Raw genomic sequence first — 21,756 nt, forward strand, 5'->3', positions numbered from 1 at the left:
AATAGAAGTTTCATAAATGAGATATTGCTCTTTCTCTCTAAATATCTTATTGTACTTTACTCACTTTTCTTCTTGTGATGAAGACAGGATGAAGTGGAATGGTGCATCCTGTTTAGAACAAACACAATTTAAAATATATTAATTATTTCTTTATGGAATTTTCTATTTAATATTTTTGGACCACAATTGACCACAAGTAACTGAAACTGCAGAAAGTGAAACCATGAATAAGGGGAAAGACAATAATTTGATAAAAGCATTGATAGTTTATTCTCTTAAGTTTTGATTGGAAATAAAGAACATCTGAATTCATTCACCACATGTATTAAGGTGTCATAATTTTTACAGACATTCTATTAAGTACCTGTAATATTACCGTTAAAAACAAATAGAGAGAGTGTCCAGGATCTACCTAGCTCAAGTTGGACACATTAAGTGGAAGGGAGAGTGCTAATTTTTGAGGTAGTTCTTTATTGACTGTGTTCAATATGTAAGGAATATTTTATATATTAATATCATCAATCTTTTCTATTGTGGAGCATCTTTTATTTTATAGACTATAATCATTATTAATAAGGGTTTTAAAAGATCAGGTGCAAGTTGACAACGTGAGAATAGAAAAATATATTGAGAATAAAGACAGACATTCAAGCTGGCAAATGTGATGGGGAGAATAACTCCTTTAAGGTCAAACGTTATACAGTGTATGTGTTGAGTGCACAGAACCTGAAAAATGGGAAAGAAATGTTTCATAGCTATAACACTTTCTGATTTTTGTACACAGAGCAAAATAAAATCATTACCAGATCTAAAAAATACATGTTATGAAAGAAGTCCCTCCTCCTGAAGAAAATACTTGGGATAATTTAGATGATCTATTTTTATGATATTAAAGTGCATTTCTTTCTAATCAGGGGAATCATAAATATATTCCATGCTACTTGCAATAATTTTTGTATAGTTCCAATAATCCAATAAAGATACTGGCAATAGCTCAAACATCAAAAGAGGTTAACCAGTGTTTCTCAACATTTGTTCATATTTCCCTCCTAAGGAGACTTTAAAAACATATTTTTCTTAATCACACCCAGTTCCAAATGAAACTTTAATTCCACAGACATATTGAATATCTTTTTAGGTACTGTTGCTCTTTGTGGGGAACACAAATTATTGTAATGCCTGGGAATTGTTTTCCTCTCCCATAACCAATTTTCTCCCTTTGGGAGCAAAATTTAATTTTTTTAATTAAAAAATTAAAAAATTATTTTTTATTTTATTTTTATTTTTTTAATTTTTGTGCCCCTGTCATGGGGGCACCACTACGACTACATGATTAACACCATATCATTCTTTTTAAGTCATTTATAGACTTATGGAAAAGAAATAATCTGTCCATTTATATATAAATCACTGCCATCACATATATTATCTCAAGAATGGATTCAGAAATATTTTCTTTTCTTTTTTTACTTTTACCCTGTGATAGTCTATAAAGTCATTTAAATCATGGATGCTGACATGCTCACAGTTGTATCTCTATCACCTCTCTCAGGGTCTGTCACAGATGGTGCCTACAAAAGGCTTGATGAATGCATGATTTACAGTGGACGAGTGAAAGCCCCCCTGTGTTTCTCACATACCATTTCTACAAAGGGCTTTATCACATCTGTAATGAGCTTACCACATCTGGATCTAGCTCCATGAATAAATTTCTACTTAGAGTGAAATAAGCATTTCTTACTTTACTTTTAAATCTAATCACTGTAGAAGTAAAATCTATTTTCTGAATCTCTATTCCTGGAGAAATTGCAACTAAATATGGAATAGTGATGTTAATCAGAAAGAACTAAGGCTTAAAGCTCTCTGTTTCTAGTATGTTATTCGGCCTCAAGGAAATTGTATAATTTTTTTTCTGCCTCAATTTTCTCACCTCTAAAATGCAGTTAGTAAAATACACGACCCATTGTTTGATTTTCCTCTCGAGAAACTGCAGTAGAATTGATGGGAAATTGCTCCAATGTATGAGTGCAAGAAGAAGTCACCTGGGGTTATCTACAGTGGTTATCTGGAAAAGGAAGTGCCGTTGCAAAAGTTGTAAGTCAAACCTAAGACAGTATTAAAGGTTAAGCACCAAAGAAGTCATTTTTTTCCCAGTAACCTTTATCAGATGCTTTTTTTCCCAGAAAGAAGTATCTGACAAAGAGAGAGAGGAGATAGACAGAGAGAGAGAGAGAGATCCAAAATGTCAGAAATCAGGTAAAGTCTAGAAACAGAATGAAACTGAACAGGGAGTAAATGAATGGAGTCAGAACAAAGCAACAGCTGGAAGAATAGAAGGAAAGAAAACAAAAAAGGAATGAAGAAAGGAAGAAGGAAAAGAGGAAGGGAGGGAAGAAGAGAGGCGGAGGGAGGAAGAGACGGTGGAAGGAAGGAAGGGAGGGAGGGAGGGAGGGAGGGAAGGGAAGAAAGAGCTGGAGAGAGGGAGGGAGGGAGGGAAGGGAAGAAAGAGCTGGAGGGAGGGAGGGAGAGAGGGAGAAAGAGAGGGAGGGAAGGAAATTATTTCTATGAATAAAACTACATGCTCAAAGCTCACTTTTAAAGGCTGCCTGCCTTGTCACCTCCAGTGGACTTGCCTTGTTGCAGGCACAAAATAGGCAGGTACTTCACCTAACAGCTAAAGACAAATGTAAATGTTCCTTAAAATATTAATCTTATATGAAGAAAATATTAATGAAATCATACATATTCTATGGTTTTCTTTTAATCCTTAAGTCTTTAAGAGGTGGAAGTAATCAGCTGCTCTACTCAGATATCCTAGACGTAATTTCTTGTTAGCTAGAGAGAGTCAGAAAGAGAGAAAAATGATGAATTAATGAATATAATTTCTAGTAAAACCAGGCTTTTAGGATGACCGTGGTTAAAAAAAACATATTGACTGGGAAACATTAATCAGAAAGTAAAGTATTATATTACAGAGAAAGAATAAAAAGCATCAAACTTATCTAGTAGCAATATAAGATGTTAAGCTACTTGTCAGCAGCTGAACAGTTCAGTCAAGGCAGAGGTAAAGAGAAGCAAAACAAGTAAAGAATATGGGCAGAATTATTTAAAAAGTTTTAATTATTTAAACCACAAAAATATGAGCAGCCAAGAATATTGTAGGAAATTAACCAGAGTCAAATATTCATTATACCTTCATGCTCTGACATGGAAGTCTGGCCTTACAGGTAATGGGAGAATGGGCAATGGCATTATAATAAGGGCAGAGTTAAGAAAGAAAAACAAAGTCAATTAGAGAAACTTTAATCATATTTAAATGAACTAAATTTCAATAAGAGGTATAGCTACATGTGTGGTCCAGCTGGTTTGACCTTAGAGGATGGTCCAGAGAAGAGTTTGGTAGAAATTGTGTTTCAGAAAATGATGTTATAACGGGGATGAGTGCCATTTCAGTACGAAATAGCTTCTAGTTTCTATTGACCTGTTGTTTTATTTCGCCTTCCTATTGTAGTGAAGTTAATGCAGATATTAAATCATGTATTCACATATCCACATTATCTCTTCCACTCTTCTCATTTGGCAGGGATCTGGAAGGGATCGTGGACTGAAGAAATGTGGAAGCTCACTCCCTAGATATGAGCCTGGTCCTGAGGAATCTAGGAAGCAAATCCATTGCTTAGAGATTCTCCCAGCCCTTAAGATTACCCTAGTTGAGCTCATTCAGGAATGGACTATATCAAGGGATCAGAGAAGAGACAAAAGCATGTCTAAGATTTTCATTTAAGGTTATTCAGAGAAACAAGACTGCATTAGTTTGTTCTCATGCTGCCAATAAAAACATACCTGAGACTGGGTAATTTATAAAGGAAAGAGGTTTAATGGCCTCATGGTTCCACATGGCTGGGGAGGCCTCAGATTCGTAGTGGAAGAGCAAGGGACGTCTTTGAGACGTACAAGGAGAGCTTGTACATGGGATCTCCCCTTTATAAAACCATCAGATCTCATGAGACTTAATCACTATCAGGAAAACAGCACAGGAAATACCTGCCCCCATGACCCAATTACCTCCCACCAGACTCTTCTTATGACACATGGGAATTGTGGGAGCTACATTCAAGATGATATTTGAGTGGGGACACAGCCACACCATATCAAAGACCAATAGGGTGTGTGTGTGTGTGTATATGTGTATACACACACACACCCCTACATATATATATATATATATATATATATAGAGAGAGAGAGAGAGAGAGAGAGAGAGAGAGAAAGGGAGAGAGAGAGAGATTTACCTTAAAGCATTGGTTCATGTGATTGTAGAGGCTTGGTGAGTCTAAAATTTGATAGGAAGGTGGGCAAACAGGAGACTCAGGGAAGAGCTGCAATTCAAGTCTGAAAGCAGCATGCTGGCAGAATTCCCTCTTGCTCACGGGAGGTCTGTATTTGTTCTATTTGGGCTTTCAACTGATTGGATGAAGCCCACCCACATTAGTGAGGGCAATTGTCTCTAATCGTGTTCATCAATTTAAATGTTTATCTCATCCATAAGTACACCTTCACAGACACATCCAAAATAATAATGGACCAAATATCTAGGCACCATAACCCAGCCAAGTTGACACAAAATTAATCATCACACTGCCTATAGTAACTAAGGATGTTTTCAGTAGAACTAGATAGAAAGGGTAAAAATACAACTTCCTTGAGGACCATCAAGTGGAAAAAGTAGTTTATATAAGGAGAAATACGACCAAGTCTCAAACTTTGTTACATTCCAGAATTGCAATACGTATGTGTTATAGAGTCACAGTTTGTTTTTATAAGCATATGTGGAGACATATATTGCCTATTTACTAATGGACTAATTGGGGTCCATTCAAAATTTTTGAAGTATTTTTCCAAGCAGTGTTTTTTAGAATAGTAACATCATTTCTTAAATTCTATAACCATGACAATTCAAATAAAAATTTGGCTACTATAAAATATGACAAATAAATTAAGATCTATCCTTGTTAACCCTTTTCCCAAGTAATTTCAGGGAAAATTATATTTCGTTTATCAGTAAAGTACTTCTCAATTATTCTGATATTCGTTTTACTAGTTTGAATTTTTAAGTATCTAACCATTGCATTTCTCTACAAAAAATTCTGAGATATCACTAGCTGAAAGCTCTGTTTCTCTTTTTAGATTTCTCTAGGCATTTAGAAAATATTTAATGAATATTTATTTATTGAACACATCTTCTCTACAGTCACTTACATGATCATCATATCTGTGGGGAAAAGAAAGAGAGATCATACTGTTACTGTGTCTATGTAGAAAGAAGTAGACATAAGAGACTCCATTTTTTTCTGTACTAAGAAAAATTCTTCTCCTTGAGATGCTGTCAATCTGCAACCCTACCCCGAACCCTGTGCTCACAGAAAACATGTGCTGTGTCGACTCAAGGTTTAATGGATTTAGGGCTATGCAGGATGTGCTTTGTTAAACCAATGCTTGAAGGCAGCATGCTTGTTAAAAGTCATCACCACTCCCTAATCTCAAGTACCCAGGGACACAAAACACTGCAGAAGTCCGCAGGGACCTCTGCCTAGGAAAGCCAGGTATTGTCCAAGGTTTCTCCCGATGTGATAGTCTGAAATATGGCCTCATGGGAAGGGAAAGACCTGACCGTCCCCCAGCCCGACACCTGTAAAGGGTCTGTGCTGAGGAGGATTAGTAAAACAGGAAGGCCTCTTTGCAGTTGATAAGAGGAAAGCATCTGTCTCCTGCTCATCCCTGGCCAATGGAATGTCTCGGTGTAAAACCCAATTGTATATTCCATCTACTGAGATAGGAGAAAACCACCTTAGGGCTGGAGGTGAGACATGCTGGTGGCAATACTGCTCTTTAAGGCATTGAGATGTTTATGTATATGCACATGAAAAGCACAGCACTTTTTTCTTTACCTTGTTTATGATGCAGAGGCACTTGTTCACATGTTTTCCTGCTGACCCTCTCTCCACTATTACCCTATTGTCCTGCCACATTCCCCTCTCTGAGATGGTAGAGCTAATGATCAATAAATACTGAGGGAACTCAGAGACCGGTGCCGGCGCTGGTCCTCCGTAAGCTGAGCTCCAGTCCCCTGGGCCCGCTTTTCTTTCTGTATACTTTGTCTGTGTCTCTTTCTTTTCCCCACAATATCTATTTTATACACATCAATGGGTTATTAGTAACAACACGAACTGCCACATCCTGTTATAAGCTTGATATTAGCAGACCAAATTATCTAAGTTTAGTTTTACCATGCCCTGAAGACAAAGTAGGTGTTAAACTTTCAGAATTTATCAGAAGGGAGAGTTTGTAAATGAAAGCTTTTGTCATAAGGCAATTTTTGTTCTTTCATTAAAATTTGGCACAGGATACCTTAGCTAGAGAATGATGTAATTCATTGTCAGTTCTGGGTGGCCACAATAGCTATAAGGAAAGGAGTGCCCTAGATTAGTCAGAGCTTTGTACAGTGGCGTGGAGAAGTATACATAGGGACTACCAAGAACAGTAGTAACCCCACTTAGAAGTTACTGTGAAGTCATATTGCCATGTGCATTTATATTGTATTTGCAGTATGAAAATTATTTTATATAAATTCCATTTTAATTGCATCTGTAAGGAATTTATTTCACAAGATAGATGAAGCCTGATTTCTCCTTTTATAATAAATAAAATATAGAGTCAGGGTAATTAAGTGATTTGCTCACAAGTGAGAAGCCAAAGAGTGAAGTCTCTAACCCAGGTTTTCTGACTCTCAGTCTAGTATTCTTTGTACAAAAGATTATAGAATTCTTTGATCTGACAGACATTATTGGACACCTAATATATTCCAGAACACCTGGGGTGGTTAATGAAGCTGCTGTAGCCCTTGCCCAAAAGGATATTTCATTCCAGCCTCTCATGAGTAATTTTCAGACCACTGTCAATACTAATGGATATATATTATTTATGTTAAATATTTTAGCCATGGTCTGTAGAAGTCAAGATTTATTTCTAGATTTGGTCTTCTTTTTTACTTATATTTTTCAATTGCCTTATTTGTAATATGGATGAAATTTCTTACATTTCTTAATAATATCTTAGAACATTCCAAGTGTGCAGTACTATGTAATTCTTCTCACTGAGATGTGCTACAGTTTCTCTTGTAGATTCTATCTCTCTTGATGATGGTCGATGTCTCAAACCTCATTATTATTTAGGGTACGGTCAAAATTACAAAAATTTATGTATTTATTTCTGCTTAATTTGTTTTTGTTTGTTTGTTTGTTTTCTTTTTTGAGGCAGAGTCTTGCTCTGTTGCCCAGATTGGAGTGCAATGGCCCGGTCTTGGCTCACTGCAACCTCCGCCTCCTGGGTTCAAGCAATTCTCCTCCCTCCGCCTCCCAAGTAGCTGGGATTATAGGCATGCACCACCACGCCCAGCTAATTTTCTTTTTTTTTTTTTTTTTTTTTTTTTGTATTTTTATTAGAAATGGGGTTTTGCCTTGTTGGCCAGGCCGGTCTCAAACTCCTGACCTCAGGTGATCTGCCCGCCTTGGCCTCCCAAAGTGCTGGGATTACAAGAAATTTGTTTCTTATATTGGTTCTTTGCTTTACCAATTTTACATGTTTACTTTTTTTTATGCTACTCCGTCTTTGATCCTGGAAGATAAGACCTCCCTTTCCTGTGGCACCTGATGCTTGTGTCAACTTGGGACACTCATGCACTTCTTCCCTTCTGTGCTGCAGGAGAAGCTTTTCACTGGTCTCTCCTTCCTCACTTTCAGCCACTGGTACCCCACCTCTCAAAATATTATAGAATTTGTGCAGTAACTGTAAGTCATAGCACACAATAACTACTCCTGAAATATCATGTTTATCTCCTTCTTCCATTCTAACTACTTCTAAGGAGTTCTGTTTTATGGGCTTCAGTAATAACTGGCATCATCTGATTTTTATGTCCCAATTATCCTGCTCATTTCTGGTCTGCATGGTGGTCAGAGCCATGTAATCTGCCTCTGTGATTTAGGATAGAATGAGTTTTATGTGAAATCTAGACAGGAATTATTTCCCTGCTAGACAACAAAAATATTTTTTTGTTATTGGTGGTGGTGGTTTTGGTTTACAAAAGGATCACCTTTCTATGCACTTGTGGATAAAGGGAGGATATAATTACATAATGGGCAAAAACAAAAACATATTTAAATCTCTGTTATCAAAGGAGAAAAATTCCCTTTACAACATTTTAAAACTTGACCTTTTCCTAGTCTGTGCTTATATAACTCCAATAATAAATGGTGGAGGCGGAACTGTATCACAGAAATAGTGAAATCATTCTTAATTTCAAGGAATATAACAGGCTTCGGTTTTTCTGGTGTATAGAGCTAAGGTAAGATATAATTATATAAACATGTCTTTGCTTACTACTCACTAGATTAACATAGTCTGTGATGTATCTAACAATTTGTCTATTCCAATAATTTAGTATCAGCATTAAACATTTGTCATATCCAAATGAAAAACAAACATGAGAACCATCTGTCTCAATAATTAGAATAATACCAAGTGCTTTATTCAGTGTACCCCTACACACCAGGTAACAAGTATATACTTTTGAGGGACTAGCCAGGAAAGACATTAAACAGAAAAAGAAGGTGAAGGTAAACTCCTTACCTGCAAGGCTTCAGATAATTGTGACCAGAGACTAATGTCATAATGGAATCTAGAAAATAGAGACAAAACAGGCTGTGAACAGTTTCCGTTTTCATAACATCTGAAGGAGGCCAGCATTTACTTTTCTTTCCTAAGAATAAGCTTACTAGAACTACTTGAGTAGCTTTATTTATGTATTTATTGTATTATCAAAATACAACTGTCCCTCCCCATCCTGGAAATTCTGATCCATAAATACAAGTGTGGATAGAACATGTGTAGGTTAATCACACTGCTGCACAGGTGTTTCTGATAACCGGAACCTTCCCTCACACTCCTCCCTCCCAGCCCCGGCTCTCAAATCGCTGTCATGGAATAATATCAAAGGTTCCTTTCTACTCTAATACAGAGTAAGTAGCTCTGTGTAGTGACGTTTTCTTACAGTATATTCTAGTTATTTGTTTATTTATTTATTTATTTTTTAGATTTTAAAAGGAAGTATTTATTGGCCTGTTACGTACCAAGGTCTAGGTTTAGGCACATTTTCAGAGGGAAACAAATCCTCCGTAGAGTTTTCCTCCACAGAGTTTCATATCTAATGGGCTCTTAACAAGCAACGTTTCTATATTTGTAATGGACTCTTCTGGAGAAGATAAGGAGTACTTTTTTTTTTCCTGCAGAGTTGACAATAAAAGTGGAAAGTGGAAAGTAAAGTTCTCCTGAGTATCTTAGCATATATTTAACCAAGCCGGCTATACAGAAATAAAAAGTATAAGGTATAAGAAATACTTTACGGCCAACCCCCCTTTTTTTTTTGTTTCTAGCCTTCATTTTATCCACACTAATCACTCTACTCCTTAATTTTAAGGTACTTCTAATGATGCATGAAATCCCAGCATTTCTTTTCTGAGCAATGTCCCACTCTCCATATAATCTCACATCCATTTCCTCTATCAAATATACACAGTTTGGGGGCATTTTATGAAACTGAAGAATTATTGACAGTTTTATTATTGCAGGTCAAATGGTGTTCTAGTTATGGTTTTAGTTTTGTTATTTAGGAGAGTCATCAGATTTTAAATATAACATTTAATATTTATGCATGAAATAACATGGTGTTTAGGACTTAATTTAAAAGAAATTATTGGGCAGGGGAAACATGGACTGAGATTATGGGTGAAATAATACTGTCTGAGTTGATAACTGTTAAAACTAGGTGAAGGGAACATGGGATCCCACTATATTATTCATGTTTGTTGTTGTTGTTTTAAACATTTATATTTTAGAGCAGTGTTAAGTTCACAGCGAAGTTGAAAGGAAGGTACAGATATTTCCCAAAACCCCCTGCCACCCGCCCCACATACATTATCAACATTCCCCACCAGCATGATACATTTGTTACAGTTGATGAACCTACACTGACAGCTCATTATCACCCAAAACCCACAGTTTACATTAGGGCTCTCTCTTGGAGATATGCATTCTATGGGTTTGGACAAATGTACAGTGACACATATCTATAATTACTGTATCACACAGAGCATTTTCACTACCCTAAAAATCTTCTGCGCTCCACCTGTTCATCTCTTTCTCTCAGCTAAACTCCTGGACAACCACTGATTTTTTTTTTTGTCTCCATAGTTTTGTCTTTTCCAAAATGTTGTGTAGTTGTAATCATATAGTATATAGCCTTTATAGATCAGTTTCTTTCACTTTAGTAATATGTATTTAAGCTTCCTACATGTCTTTTTGTAGCTTTATGGTTTATTTCTGTTTAATGCTGAATAATATTCTATTACCTGGATATACCACAATTTGTTTACTAATTAACCTACAGAAGGACAGCTTAGTTGATTCTAAGTTTTGGCAATTATCAATAAAGCTGCTATAAACACCTGTGTGCAGGTTTTGTGTAGACATAAGTTTTCAACTCTTTTGAATAGTTATCAAGTAGAATGATTGTTAGATCTTATAGTAATAGGGTGTGTAGTTTGGTAGAAAACTGCAAAATTGTCTTCCAAAGTGGCTGTACCACTTTGCATTTCCACCAGCAATGACTGAGAGTTGCTGTTGCTCCACATCCTTGTCAGTATTTGGTGTTGTCAGAGTTCTATATTTTGGCCATTCTAATAGGTTTGTAGTAGTATCTCGTTGTTATTTTAATTTGCATTTCTATGATGACATATGGTCTGGACCATCTTTCCATATGGTTATTTGCCATTTATATATCTTTTTTGATGAGATGGAGTTTTAAGAGTTATTTGTATGTTTTGAATAATAGTCCTTTATCATACAGGTCTTTTGCAAATATTTTCTCCCAGTGTGTTGCTAGTATCTTCATCCTCTTGACTATATATACATATATATAATATAAATATATATAGATATATTTTTTAACAGAGTCTTGCTCCATCGCCCAGGCTGGGGTGCAGCAGTGCCATCTCAGCTCACTGCAACCTCTACCTCCCAGGTTCAAGTGATTCTCCTGCCTCAGCCTCCTAAGTAGCTGGGATTACAAACACGTGACACCAAGCCAAGCTAATTTTTGTATTTTTAGTAGAGACAGGGTTTCACCATTTTGGCCAGGCTGGTCTCGAACTCCTGACCTCAAGTGAGCCACCTACCTCGGCCTCCCAAAGTGCTGGGATAACCGGTGTGAGCCACCGCATCCAGCCAGAAGTTTTTCATTTCAATAATGTTCAGCCTATAAGTTATTTCTATCATAGATTGTGCTTTTTACATTGTATCTAAAAAGTTATCATGCTACCCAACGTCATCTAATTTTTCTGCTCTGGTGATCTTCCAAGAGTTTTATAGTTTTGCATTTTACATTTAGGTCTATAATCCATTTTAAGTTAATTTTTGTGAAGCATATAACGTATGAGTCTATTTTGGGTTTTTTGCATGTAGATGCCTAGTTGTTTTGCCACCATTTGTTTAAAAGACAATCTTTGCTCCATTGTCTTGCCTTTGCTCCTTAGTAAAAACTCAGTTGAATATACCTATTTGGATCTCTTTCTGGGCTCTTTATTCTGTTCCATCAATCTACTTACCTGTTCATCCCTCAATACCACACTGTCTCAATTACTGTAGCTTTGTAGTAAATCTTGAAATCAGATAGTGTCAATCCTCCAATTTTGTTTTTCTTCATCACTGTGTGGCCTATTCTGGGTCTTTTGCCTCTGCATATAAACCTTAGAATTAGTTTTTCAATACCCACAAAACAACTTCCTGAGATATTGATTGGGATTGCATTGATTCTATTGACGAAGTTAGAAAGATCTGCCCTCTTAAACATATTGTCTTCCACTCCATGAACATGAAATATCTCATTTATTTATTTATATTATTTAATTGACAAATCATAATTGTATACATTTATTTTATTCTCCTTTGATTTCTTTCATGAGAGTTTTGTAGGTTTCCTCATCTAGATCATGTACATATTTCGTTAGATTTATACCTATGTGTTATATTTTTGGGGAATGCTAATATAAATTGCATTCTGCTTTTGATTTCAAATTTTACTTGTTTATTGCTGATATATAAGAAAATGATTGACTTTTGTATATTAACCTTATATCCTGCAAACTTGCTGCAATCCTTTATTAGTTCTGGGAGACTTTTGCTGTTTTTGTTGTCATCGTTGATTCTTTGAGATTTCCTGTATATGTGAACATATACTTGATAAACAAATATAGTTTTATTTTTTTCTTTCCGAGGAAGCTTTCATTTTTTTAAGTTTTATTCTGTTTTCTTGTCTTATTGCATTATAAATGAGTGTTGAACTTTGTCAAATGCTTGCTACCTCTATTGATATGATCATGTAATTTTTCCTTTTTAGCCTGTTGATGTGATGGACTACACTAAAACTATTCTATTTGTTTATATGTTTGAAATTTCCAATGACAAAAAGTCAACAAAATGTTTTCTGTTGTATTCTCTATTTAAATTTTATCAACAAGTGTGATGTTTAATTTTATGTGTCAACTTGGCTAGGCTATAGTACCCAGTTGTTCAGTTTTATACTAATCTAGGTGTTGTTATGAAGGCATTGATGGATATACTTAACATTTACAATCAGCTGATTTTTAAGTAAAGGAGATTACTCTTGATAATGTGGATAGACTTATCCAATCAACTGATAACCCTTAAGAGTGAAACTTGAGATTTCCCCAAAAGAAAGAAATTTGGTCTCAAGCTTGCAACATCATCTCCAGCCTGTGTGTTTCAGCCTATGGGTCTAACCTGCAAATCTCTGACTTGCTAGTCCCCACAACTGGGTGAGTCAGTTCTTTCAAATAAATCTATACATGTATATTTATGTATGTATATCCTTAAAGAATGAATTTATCATGGTAGAAACTTGAGGTCAGTGACAGATTTTCAGACAGAACACTGTGTCTGAAAATAGCGCTGTGCCCTTCAACCCACTTGCCAAAGACGTATGTCTACGTCATAAGGTAAAACTTGTTCTGATGTTGTTAAATGATACACTTAAATTATGATAAAGACAATTTAATATGTTACACTATTAGAGTACTTCTAATTTTTATACAAAGTATATAAAGTTGCTATCTATGACCCTATATATAACTGGATCACTAAAACACCTAATTACATCATTTTTTGGTATTTTCAAAGCTCAACAGATAAAAAAATCACAATATTAACAACGCTGTTTCATTGCCTGAGATCTTCTCCAATACACTTAGAGAACTTCGGTGCACTGGAGAACCTAAGTCTCAAAGGCAAGTAGTGACAATACAAGATATCGGCAAATGAGGGCACTAATTTTCAAAGAGGCTAAATGTTTGCCAGCAATACATAGCAGAAATGTTATATTACTGCCATATTCTTAAATTGCTGTACATACTAAAATTACTTTGGGGAGAATTTTCCAAGTATGTAATCCTAACTCACCCTGTACAAACTAACCAAATCAGAGAGGAATCCAAGCTGGTATGCTATAAAAATGTTTCCTAAGTCATCCTTTGGGTAATCTGTTTAAGAGCTTCTACATTACCTACAGATATTCCAAACCACAGGCCAGTGTTATTTTCTGCTGTCTCTTTCCACTTATAGATGGAAGCATCTGAGAAGCATTCATAGTGAGCCAAATGACTTAGAGGAGGGATTTCTTATTTTTCTTATCAATCATTATGGAACCGAAGTGTCTGCCTCTGTGCATTTAATAAAGTTACTGCATGCAAAATTAATAAGATATTTACCTTAGAAGCAAAATTATATCAAGTTATATATTTGTTCTGGTAACATGCAATTATCCATTATTTTGATTAAAATGTTCATTTTCTTTAGATCACATACATGCATCATATGAGTTGGAATGTATGTTACATATTCTGGGGACATTTCAGATGAATATATGGAGATGAACTGCAATAGGAACATCTACATATACATGTGGACACTGACACCTTAAATAATTTCCATGGTGACTCCAGAGAGAATATAAAAGCCCCTTCTGTTTCACTGTTCTCTTTTTCTCACCCTTCTGCTGTATGGCTCCTGATTTAAACAATAACAGATAACAAGATTAATAAAGCACAGGCTTTTTAATGAAATCATGTTTGGTATCAAGCCCTTTAACTTTCTAATCTGTTTTCAGCAGCTGTAAGTGCTGCACAGTCACTTTCAGCATCTCTCCAGAGAGCACAGAAAGACATTTCTTCTATCTTTGATCTGTTTCTTGTCACTGGAAATTATCTGCAAGAAATGCTCCAACAGAATTTTTTTCTGCTAGTGTTATTATGGTACCAAGAAATAAAGTTGTTTCAGGTCCTTTGTTTAAAATCAGCACTTGCTTTGGATACTGCATGCTCAGCACTTAAGCAGCATCCAGTGAAGCAAAGCCATTGCTAAGTATAAATAATAATCCCAGAGAGCTTGTCTACGTCCTTTAGGCTCTTATATTTAAGACAGCACTACCATGGATAAATAGGGGCAGAAAGACACATCATTGAAATAGTAAGTGACTAATTGATGAGAAAGGTTTTCACCTAGTACACAGTTTAAAGTTAAGTGGTTTTTAAAAATGGGGTAAACTCAGCTGATTGGGTTACCCTGGAGAAGAGCAAGCCATTATTGCATTTATGTCACCCTGGTGATAGCCAAGTCACATTGATAGAAGCCTATGTTTATTCTGTATATTTCTGACAGATATTTTCTCTTCAGATGAGTAGTCACACCACATTCAGGTGTCACTTTCCTTCTTTCTTCCAAATTCTCCTGTGTCCTCAAGACAACCAATGCAATGGTCTCATCAGGATGGTCAGACCTTTCCCCTATTATTTGGGGCTTGCCCCTGCAAAAGTCGCATTACCCCTGAAATTCCATTTGTGACACAGTCTTCTCAGGTGCAGAGAAAACTTACATTTCCTATGGGAATAAAGTTGGCACTATGCACTTAACTTTAGTCAAGCTGTAAGTAAATGATCAGAATGAATTGTTAATCTTATAAAATCAGTAATTTACTGGGCATTCTCTTACTGTTTCAATTCAGTTTCCCTGCTGATTCATTCACAGTTTTGATGGCTAGAAGTCCAAGATCAGAGTGCTCTCATGGCTGGATTATGCTAGATGCCTCATGGTTTACAAATGACTGTCTATTGTTTTCTTACATGGCAGAGAGATAAACAGAGGAGCTTTCATCATCTTCTATGAAGGACAACAATCTTATTAAGGAGGCTCCAAACTCAGAATCTAATTACCTCCCAAGACCCCACTTCCTAACACCATCTCACTGGGGGCTAAGGTATCAATATATGAGCTTGGGTGGGACATAAATATTTAGTTCATAGCAGCTCAGAACTGCTGAAGATAGAAGTGTGTATTAAACAGTTTCTGCCTTCAAGGGGCTTTGAGCATGTTAAAGATATAAATAAAATAACTCGGCCGGGCGCAGTGGCTCACGCCTGTAATCCCAGAACTTTGGGAGGCTGAGGCAGGCGGATCATGAGGCCAGGAGATCGAGACCATCCTGGCTAACATGGTTAAACCCTGTCTCTACTAAAAATACAAAAAAAATTAGCCGGGCGTGGTTGTGGGCCCTTGTAGTCCCAGCTACTCAGGAGGCTGAGGCAGGAGAATGGCGTGAACCTGGGAGGCAGAGCTTGCAGTGAGCGGAGATTGCACCACTGCACTCCAGCCTGGGCGAAACAGCCAGACTCTGTCTCCAAAAAAAAAAAAAAAAAAAAAAAGCAACTCAATAGCAAAGGCCCACTACTATTCAAAATCAGTATTCTACGGAGCTGAATGATGTGGAAGATGGAAGAAAGAACACATCACATTGTATTCTGTATTTACATGCCAGTGATTTACATATATTAGTATTTATTACTCTCTTTTAATAATAGTGGAAATAAATTTCCATACTTTATAAGGAAGAAAACCAAGGCTCAGAACACTGAATAACTTAATGGTTGAGATTGGAATTCAGGTTTCTGATTCTTTTTTCTAGAATTCGTGAAGAAATTGGAATTCGAGATGAAAGAAGAATAATAAGAAGAAAATGATTTGAACTCACAGACAGCAGTAGTAAGGATAATTTTAACCAGTGACAAGGGAGGAGAAGAAATACAGGGAAAAAATGCACATGGTATTTTTAAGGGAATAGTGAATAAATCACCCTCTTTGAAACAGTGGTGTCTTGTTGGTTCTAACAGCAAAACATAAACATTTGCTATTATTTGCCCAGAGTTTTAACATTTGCAGAATAATTTTACACATATTATTTTGTTTCAGGTTTATGATAACCCTGTGAGTTAAGTAGAGAAGATATTTTTATTAATATTCTCCCTATCATAGATGAAAAACCTGAGGCCGAAATTCGACCATGGGAACAAGATCCTAAAATTAATAATGGACTAGGACAAATGCTGAATATGGCTCTATAGTATACACATTTTCCAAATTACTTTTGAAATATCCTTGTATCATGGGGTTTAAACAGAAATTCAAACTTCAGTCAAAGAAATCACAAAGATGAAGTTGTCACTGAGTAAGTGGTACAGTAACGTGATCTTGGAGACCCCCCACTAAAATGTAATGATTCTGTCAATTACAGTTGACCCTTGACCAATGTGAGGGTTAGGGTCATTGATGCCCCCAACACAGTCAAAAATCCATGTATAATTTTTGACTACCCCAGAACTTAACCACTAGCAGCCTACTGTTGTCTAGAAGCCTTGCTGATAACATAGTCGATTAACACATATTTTGTATTTTATATGTATTATATACTGTATTATTACAATAAAGTAAGCTAGAGAAAAGAAAATGTTACTACCAAAATCACAGAGGAAGAGCAAGTATATTTTCTTTATTAAGTGGAATTGGATCATCACAAAGCTCTTTATCCTTTTTGTCTTCACACTGAGTAGGCTGAAGAGAAGGAGGAAGAGGGGGATTGGTCTTGCTGTGAGGTGGCAGGGGTAGAAAAGTTGGATGAAATGGAAGTTGAGAGCCAGGCACATTTGGTGTAGCTTTTATTGAAAAAAAATATTGCATGTAAGTGGACGCAAGCATTTCAAACCCTTGTTGTCTGAGGATCAACCGCACTAAAGAAAACTGTTCATGTCATCAAAACTATTCAATAACTTAGCCCATACTTTTCTCTTTGTTTGTGTGTGTATTTTTCACACCAAGCATAGTGCCTAATACCTAAAAGTCATGTGGAAAATAACAGTGGTGCTATTGAACCACCAGTGTTGGATGTAATTAATGTAATTATTACCATTTTGTGTTGAAGGTACCATGGCTTTCAGAAATGAGGTGTTTTTCTCAGACCTGGTAAGTAGTATAGCTATTAGGATCCAGATTTGAATAAAGATCTGACTAAATGCAAAAACCTTGGTTTGTTTCTGTTGTGAAATTATTATAAAATGAATTGGTGCCAGATGATGAACTCATACATGAGAATTTGAACAGTCTAATTTCTAGCCAGCACCAGGAATCACCAAATCTCTTTGGTCTTTGTTGCTGTTGCTGCCATCAGTCCTTTTGGTCATGTGGGACTCTTGAAACTGTGCTCTCCGTAAAGAGATAGATGCTGCTTATCCTTTCTGATGGTCTAGTCCTGCTGGCCCAATTCCCCAGCCAGAACTCTGCAAGCTTTTGAGGCAAGATGATTCTACTGCCTATGAGCTAAGCCAAGTCAAGGGGACTTTGTCTGGAATAACGGGTTAGTAGAACTCAGTGCTCAGCTCTGTCAAATCCAGAGACACCTACAGATACCAGCTACCCTAGAAGTTGTTCTGGCACCTGCCATTTGTAGACCTGCAGTCTATATATTATTTCTCTTCAGGGATTCACATGACCATAATTAATGCTGATTTTTGTGTGGGTTTCTTTAATCTCTCAAAAATGTTAATTGTACCCACTTTCTCAGTGAATCATGGTGGAATGGTGTCCAAATACCTGTGCCTTAGCTGTGTTGGCTTTATTAAACCTCTTAAGTCCTCACTAACTCAGCCCTTTCCAGTCCTTTCTTGGGGAGTTACTTTTTGTGGCTTAAGGGTGATGTCAAAGAATTAGACAATCAACTTCATAAACTACTTATTGGGCTCAGAGTGGGAAAGATAAAATGTTGGGGTGGGGGTTTAGGGATAAAACAAAAGTACAATTTTTTCTGGAGCATCAGCTTCACTATCCCCCAAAGAAGTTTCTTACCCTCCCCTTCACTAGTTATCTCCAGAAAGTGGGGGAAATAGGCAGTCTTCCAGGCAGGTATACCAGAACTGTCCAGGACTGGGTTCTCCAGAAAAATAGCTTGTATGTATTGAAACAGTGTATCGCTGTATAGATGTCTTTTTCTCAACAGTCTTCAAAGGCAATGGAAGCAGGGCAGCATTTTGAATGAATTTCAGACTATGAACTTAATTCACCACACGGGCATATATATATATATACATATATATATATACACACACATATATATATACATATATATACATATATACACAGACATACATATATACACATATATATATATGGACACATTGTAAGCTTCTTAAGGGCAAAAATCAAGTTATATGAATCACTCTTATCAATAATGCTGAACCCATATCCTAGTGCATAGTTTATCCATAACAGATGTTTGCCAAAAAATGTTGCTTAATAATTAGATAAATATTCAGCACACATAAAAATGTTTATTTTTTTCTGAACTGCAAATGATTTCTGGAACATTTCAGAGATCACATTGATCCACTCTTAAAAGCATTCCTATTGTTTGCTATATAATTTGTACCTTCATATCTAAGAGAATATTATCTGAAATATAACCAAAAATTTCCACAGAAAGAACCCTATTATTAAATAGATGCTCAAATTCAAGAATATCCAAAATATGCAAGTTACAGACAACTTTAAATTGTAAAATAATTTAGATTCATTTGCAATTCAACAATAATTAAGTTAATAAGACTTGTATTACGAATATTATTAACTTCAAATAACTCTATATAGGCACAAGTCATCAGATTATTTACAGGACTTCAGTTCATTTGTGATATATAGACTTTTGAGGCAATACTACTATTTTAGAGAATGCTATTCTGTGTAAAGTAATATTTAAAATACCATCTAGGTTCCACATATTAAAATACATTTTGATGGCCCAAGTAGTGCATGGTGACCTTCAGAAAATAAACTCTGTGTCTCAGATTTGTGTACTAATAAATAAAGATCAAGTAACAACCTCAGGGTATTTCTAAGAAGTACATCATGTTACATACAATACAGGCTTAGGTCCACGACTGATATACATTAAACTTGCAGTAAGTTAACATTTGTCATCATTGTTTTTTATAAAGTATTCTGCTTTTATATTCAGGATTTCAAAATTTCAATTATTTCTAAACACCTGGAAATCTATGTTGGTTTATTTTATTAGTAAATTTCCTGTTTTCCTTTTCCTCTACCTCTCCAGTATTCAATAAGGATATCATTAACCATTAGTCCAGGTTATTATGTTTTTCCAAGAAGCATATGGCAATGATTTTACCTACAGGGGAAAGGTAAAGAAATTGAAGACGGTAAGAATAGTCACCTGCTGCTACTTGAAAAAATGTTAAGAATTAATACAACTTTGCAGGCTGATAGAAGTTTTTAGGCCCATTAGGTTTGATAATTACTAGCAAAACTCTTTTAAAAATATGTAAATTGTAAGTCCTTCTCTGCCTTCATTATCACGATGTTATTCAGTCGCCCTCAAATAGTCATCCTATAGTACTTAATATAGAGAACAACACATTGTGGAAATAATTCATGAGGAGACTGAGATTTTTGGCAACTATTTCTTCCCTTGACCTTGATCAAATTGTTTCCCCAAGTAAAAACCTAAAGATAACTATAACTGCCAGCCAGCTTTGGGGTGTTCTAAGGTTTAGAGGGCCTTACAAATTCCTTGAGTAACCGTAGGAACAATGATACACGCAAAGGTAAGTTATTATTGAATGTTCTGTATCATTGAAACTTTCTACTCCCCTTCTCCTAACCTGAATATATGCAGTAGAGCTGAACAAAGAGAGGAGATATTTGGAGGGGAGAGAAGGTGGAACAGCAGCAAAGAGTACAGTGTTTTCATATTTAGCATACACAACTGGTTTGTGTAGCAAGGAAAGAAATCACAAGTAGATATAAGTCATCCCACAAAGTATACAACAATAGCAAACATGAACGTGAATTCAGTATGTTGGCTTAAAATTAGTTCATATAAATCATGCATTTCCAAATAATTGCCTTCAAATTGCTTGTTTTAACTCACAGTAATTATACTCTATGCACACTTTTTTCTACTTTACTTAAAACAAATGAGCCATTTCAAGCCTCAATGGCTTTCTTTTGAACCACAGTAAATACTGTAGTGCATGAATTATTATATTTGTGATAAATATGTGTTGTCTTTGTATTACGTTCTAACTACATAATTTAGCAATTCTTTAGTTCTTTACTTCTTTAATCTCACTGTGTATATACTTTTTTATATATATGCGTTAGAAATGTACTGATACAGATTTATGTATAAATAAGTGATATTAATTTTTAATTTACTGACAATTTTTCTCACATAAAACAATATATTCACTTTTGTTAGGATTTTTTGTTGTTTTGTTTCTTTGATTTTTTTTAATTTTGGTAAATCCCTCATGTTTCTAACTTTCTAATCTTTTTGGTAAATATTTATAATACATATGGTGTGTGTATGTGTGTGTGTATCATTCATATATATATGTACAGATATATGGACATTATACATACACATTAATGGAATAAATATGAATTTAATTTTACATGAGAATTTTTAAATATGTCTTAAAATAACACTATAAGGCAATCAAAAATTAGGGTGAGGGCCGGGTGTGGTGACTCACGCCTGTAATCCCAGCACTTTGAGAGGCCGAGGTGGGCAGATCACGTGAGGATGGGAGTTCGAGACCAGCCTGAACAACATGGAGAAACCCCATCTCTACTAAAAATATAAAATTAGCCGGGCATGGTGCCACATGCCTGTAATCCCAGCTACTCGGGAGGCTGAGGCAGGAGAATTGCTTAAACCCAGGAGGCAGAAGTTGCAGTGAGCCATGATCGCTCCACTGCACTCCAGCCTGGGCAACAAGAGGGAAACTGTCTCAAAATAAATAATAATAATAAAAATAAATAAATAAATAAATAAATACATAGTGTCAGAATTACTTTTATAAAAATGAAAATGTAAAGCAAATTGTCTTAGTCCATTTTCACGCTGCTGATAAAGACATACCTGAGACTGGGGAAAAAAGAGGTTTAATTTGACTTACAGTTCCACATGACTGGGGAGGCATCAGAATCACGGTGGGAGGTGAAAGACACTTCATACATGGTGGTGGCAAGAGAAAATGAGGAAAAAGCAAAAGAGGAGCCCCCTGATAAACCCATCAGATCTCACGAGACTTATTCACTATCACTAGAACAGCACTGGAAAGAGCAGCCCCCATGATTCAATTACCTCCCCCTGGGTCCCTCCCACAACACATGGGAATTCTGGGAGATACAATTCAAGTTGAGAGTCGGGTGGGGACACAGCCAAAC

The 21,756-nt window shown here is 35.9% G+C and overlaps 1 long non-coding RNA gene across 6 annotated transcripts in view; it reads right to left on the reverse strand.

The window, feature by feature from the left end:
- LOC105369468 (uncharacterized) overlaps window positions 1-21,756 on the reverse strand; it is a 383,452-nt gene that overhangs the window by 101,662 nt on the left and 260,034 nt on the right. For 5 of the 6 annotated variants that reach the window (XR_007062870.1, XR_947973.2, XR_001748356.1 and 2 more), the window contains 2 exons: window positions 8,686-8,734; window positions 31-108 (listed from right to left, as the gene is read on the reverse strand). This is a non-coding gene — a long non-coding RNA (uncharacterized LOC105369468). Of the gene's footprint in view, window positions 1-30; window positions 109-8,685; window positions 8,735-21,756 lie in introns of those variants that run through there. The other variant, XR_007062871.1, reaches the window with a different exon arrangement.

The sequence above is a fragment of the Homo sapiens genome, chromosome 11 (genome assembly GCF_000001405.40).
Source record: "Homo sapiens chromosome 11, GRCh38.p14 Primary Assembly".
Classification (NCBI taxonomy): domain Eukaryota; kingdom Metazoa; phylum Chordata; class Mammalia; order Primates; family Hominidae; genus Homo; species Homo sapiens.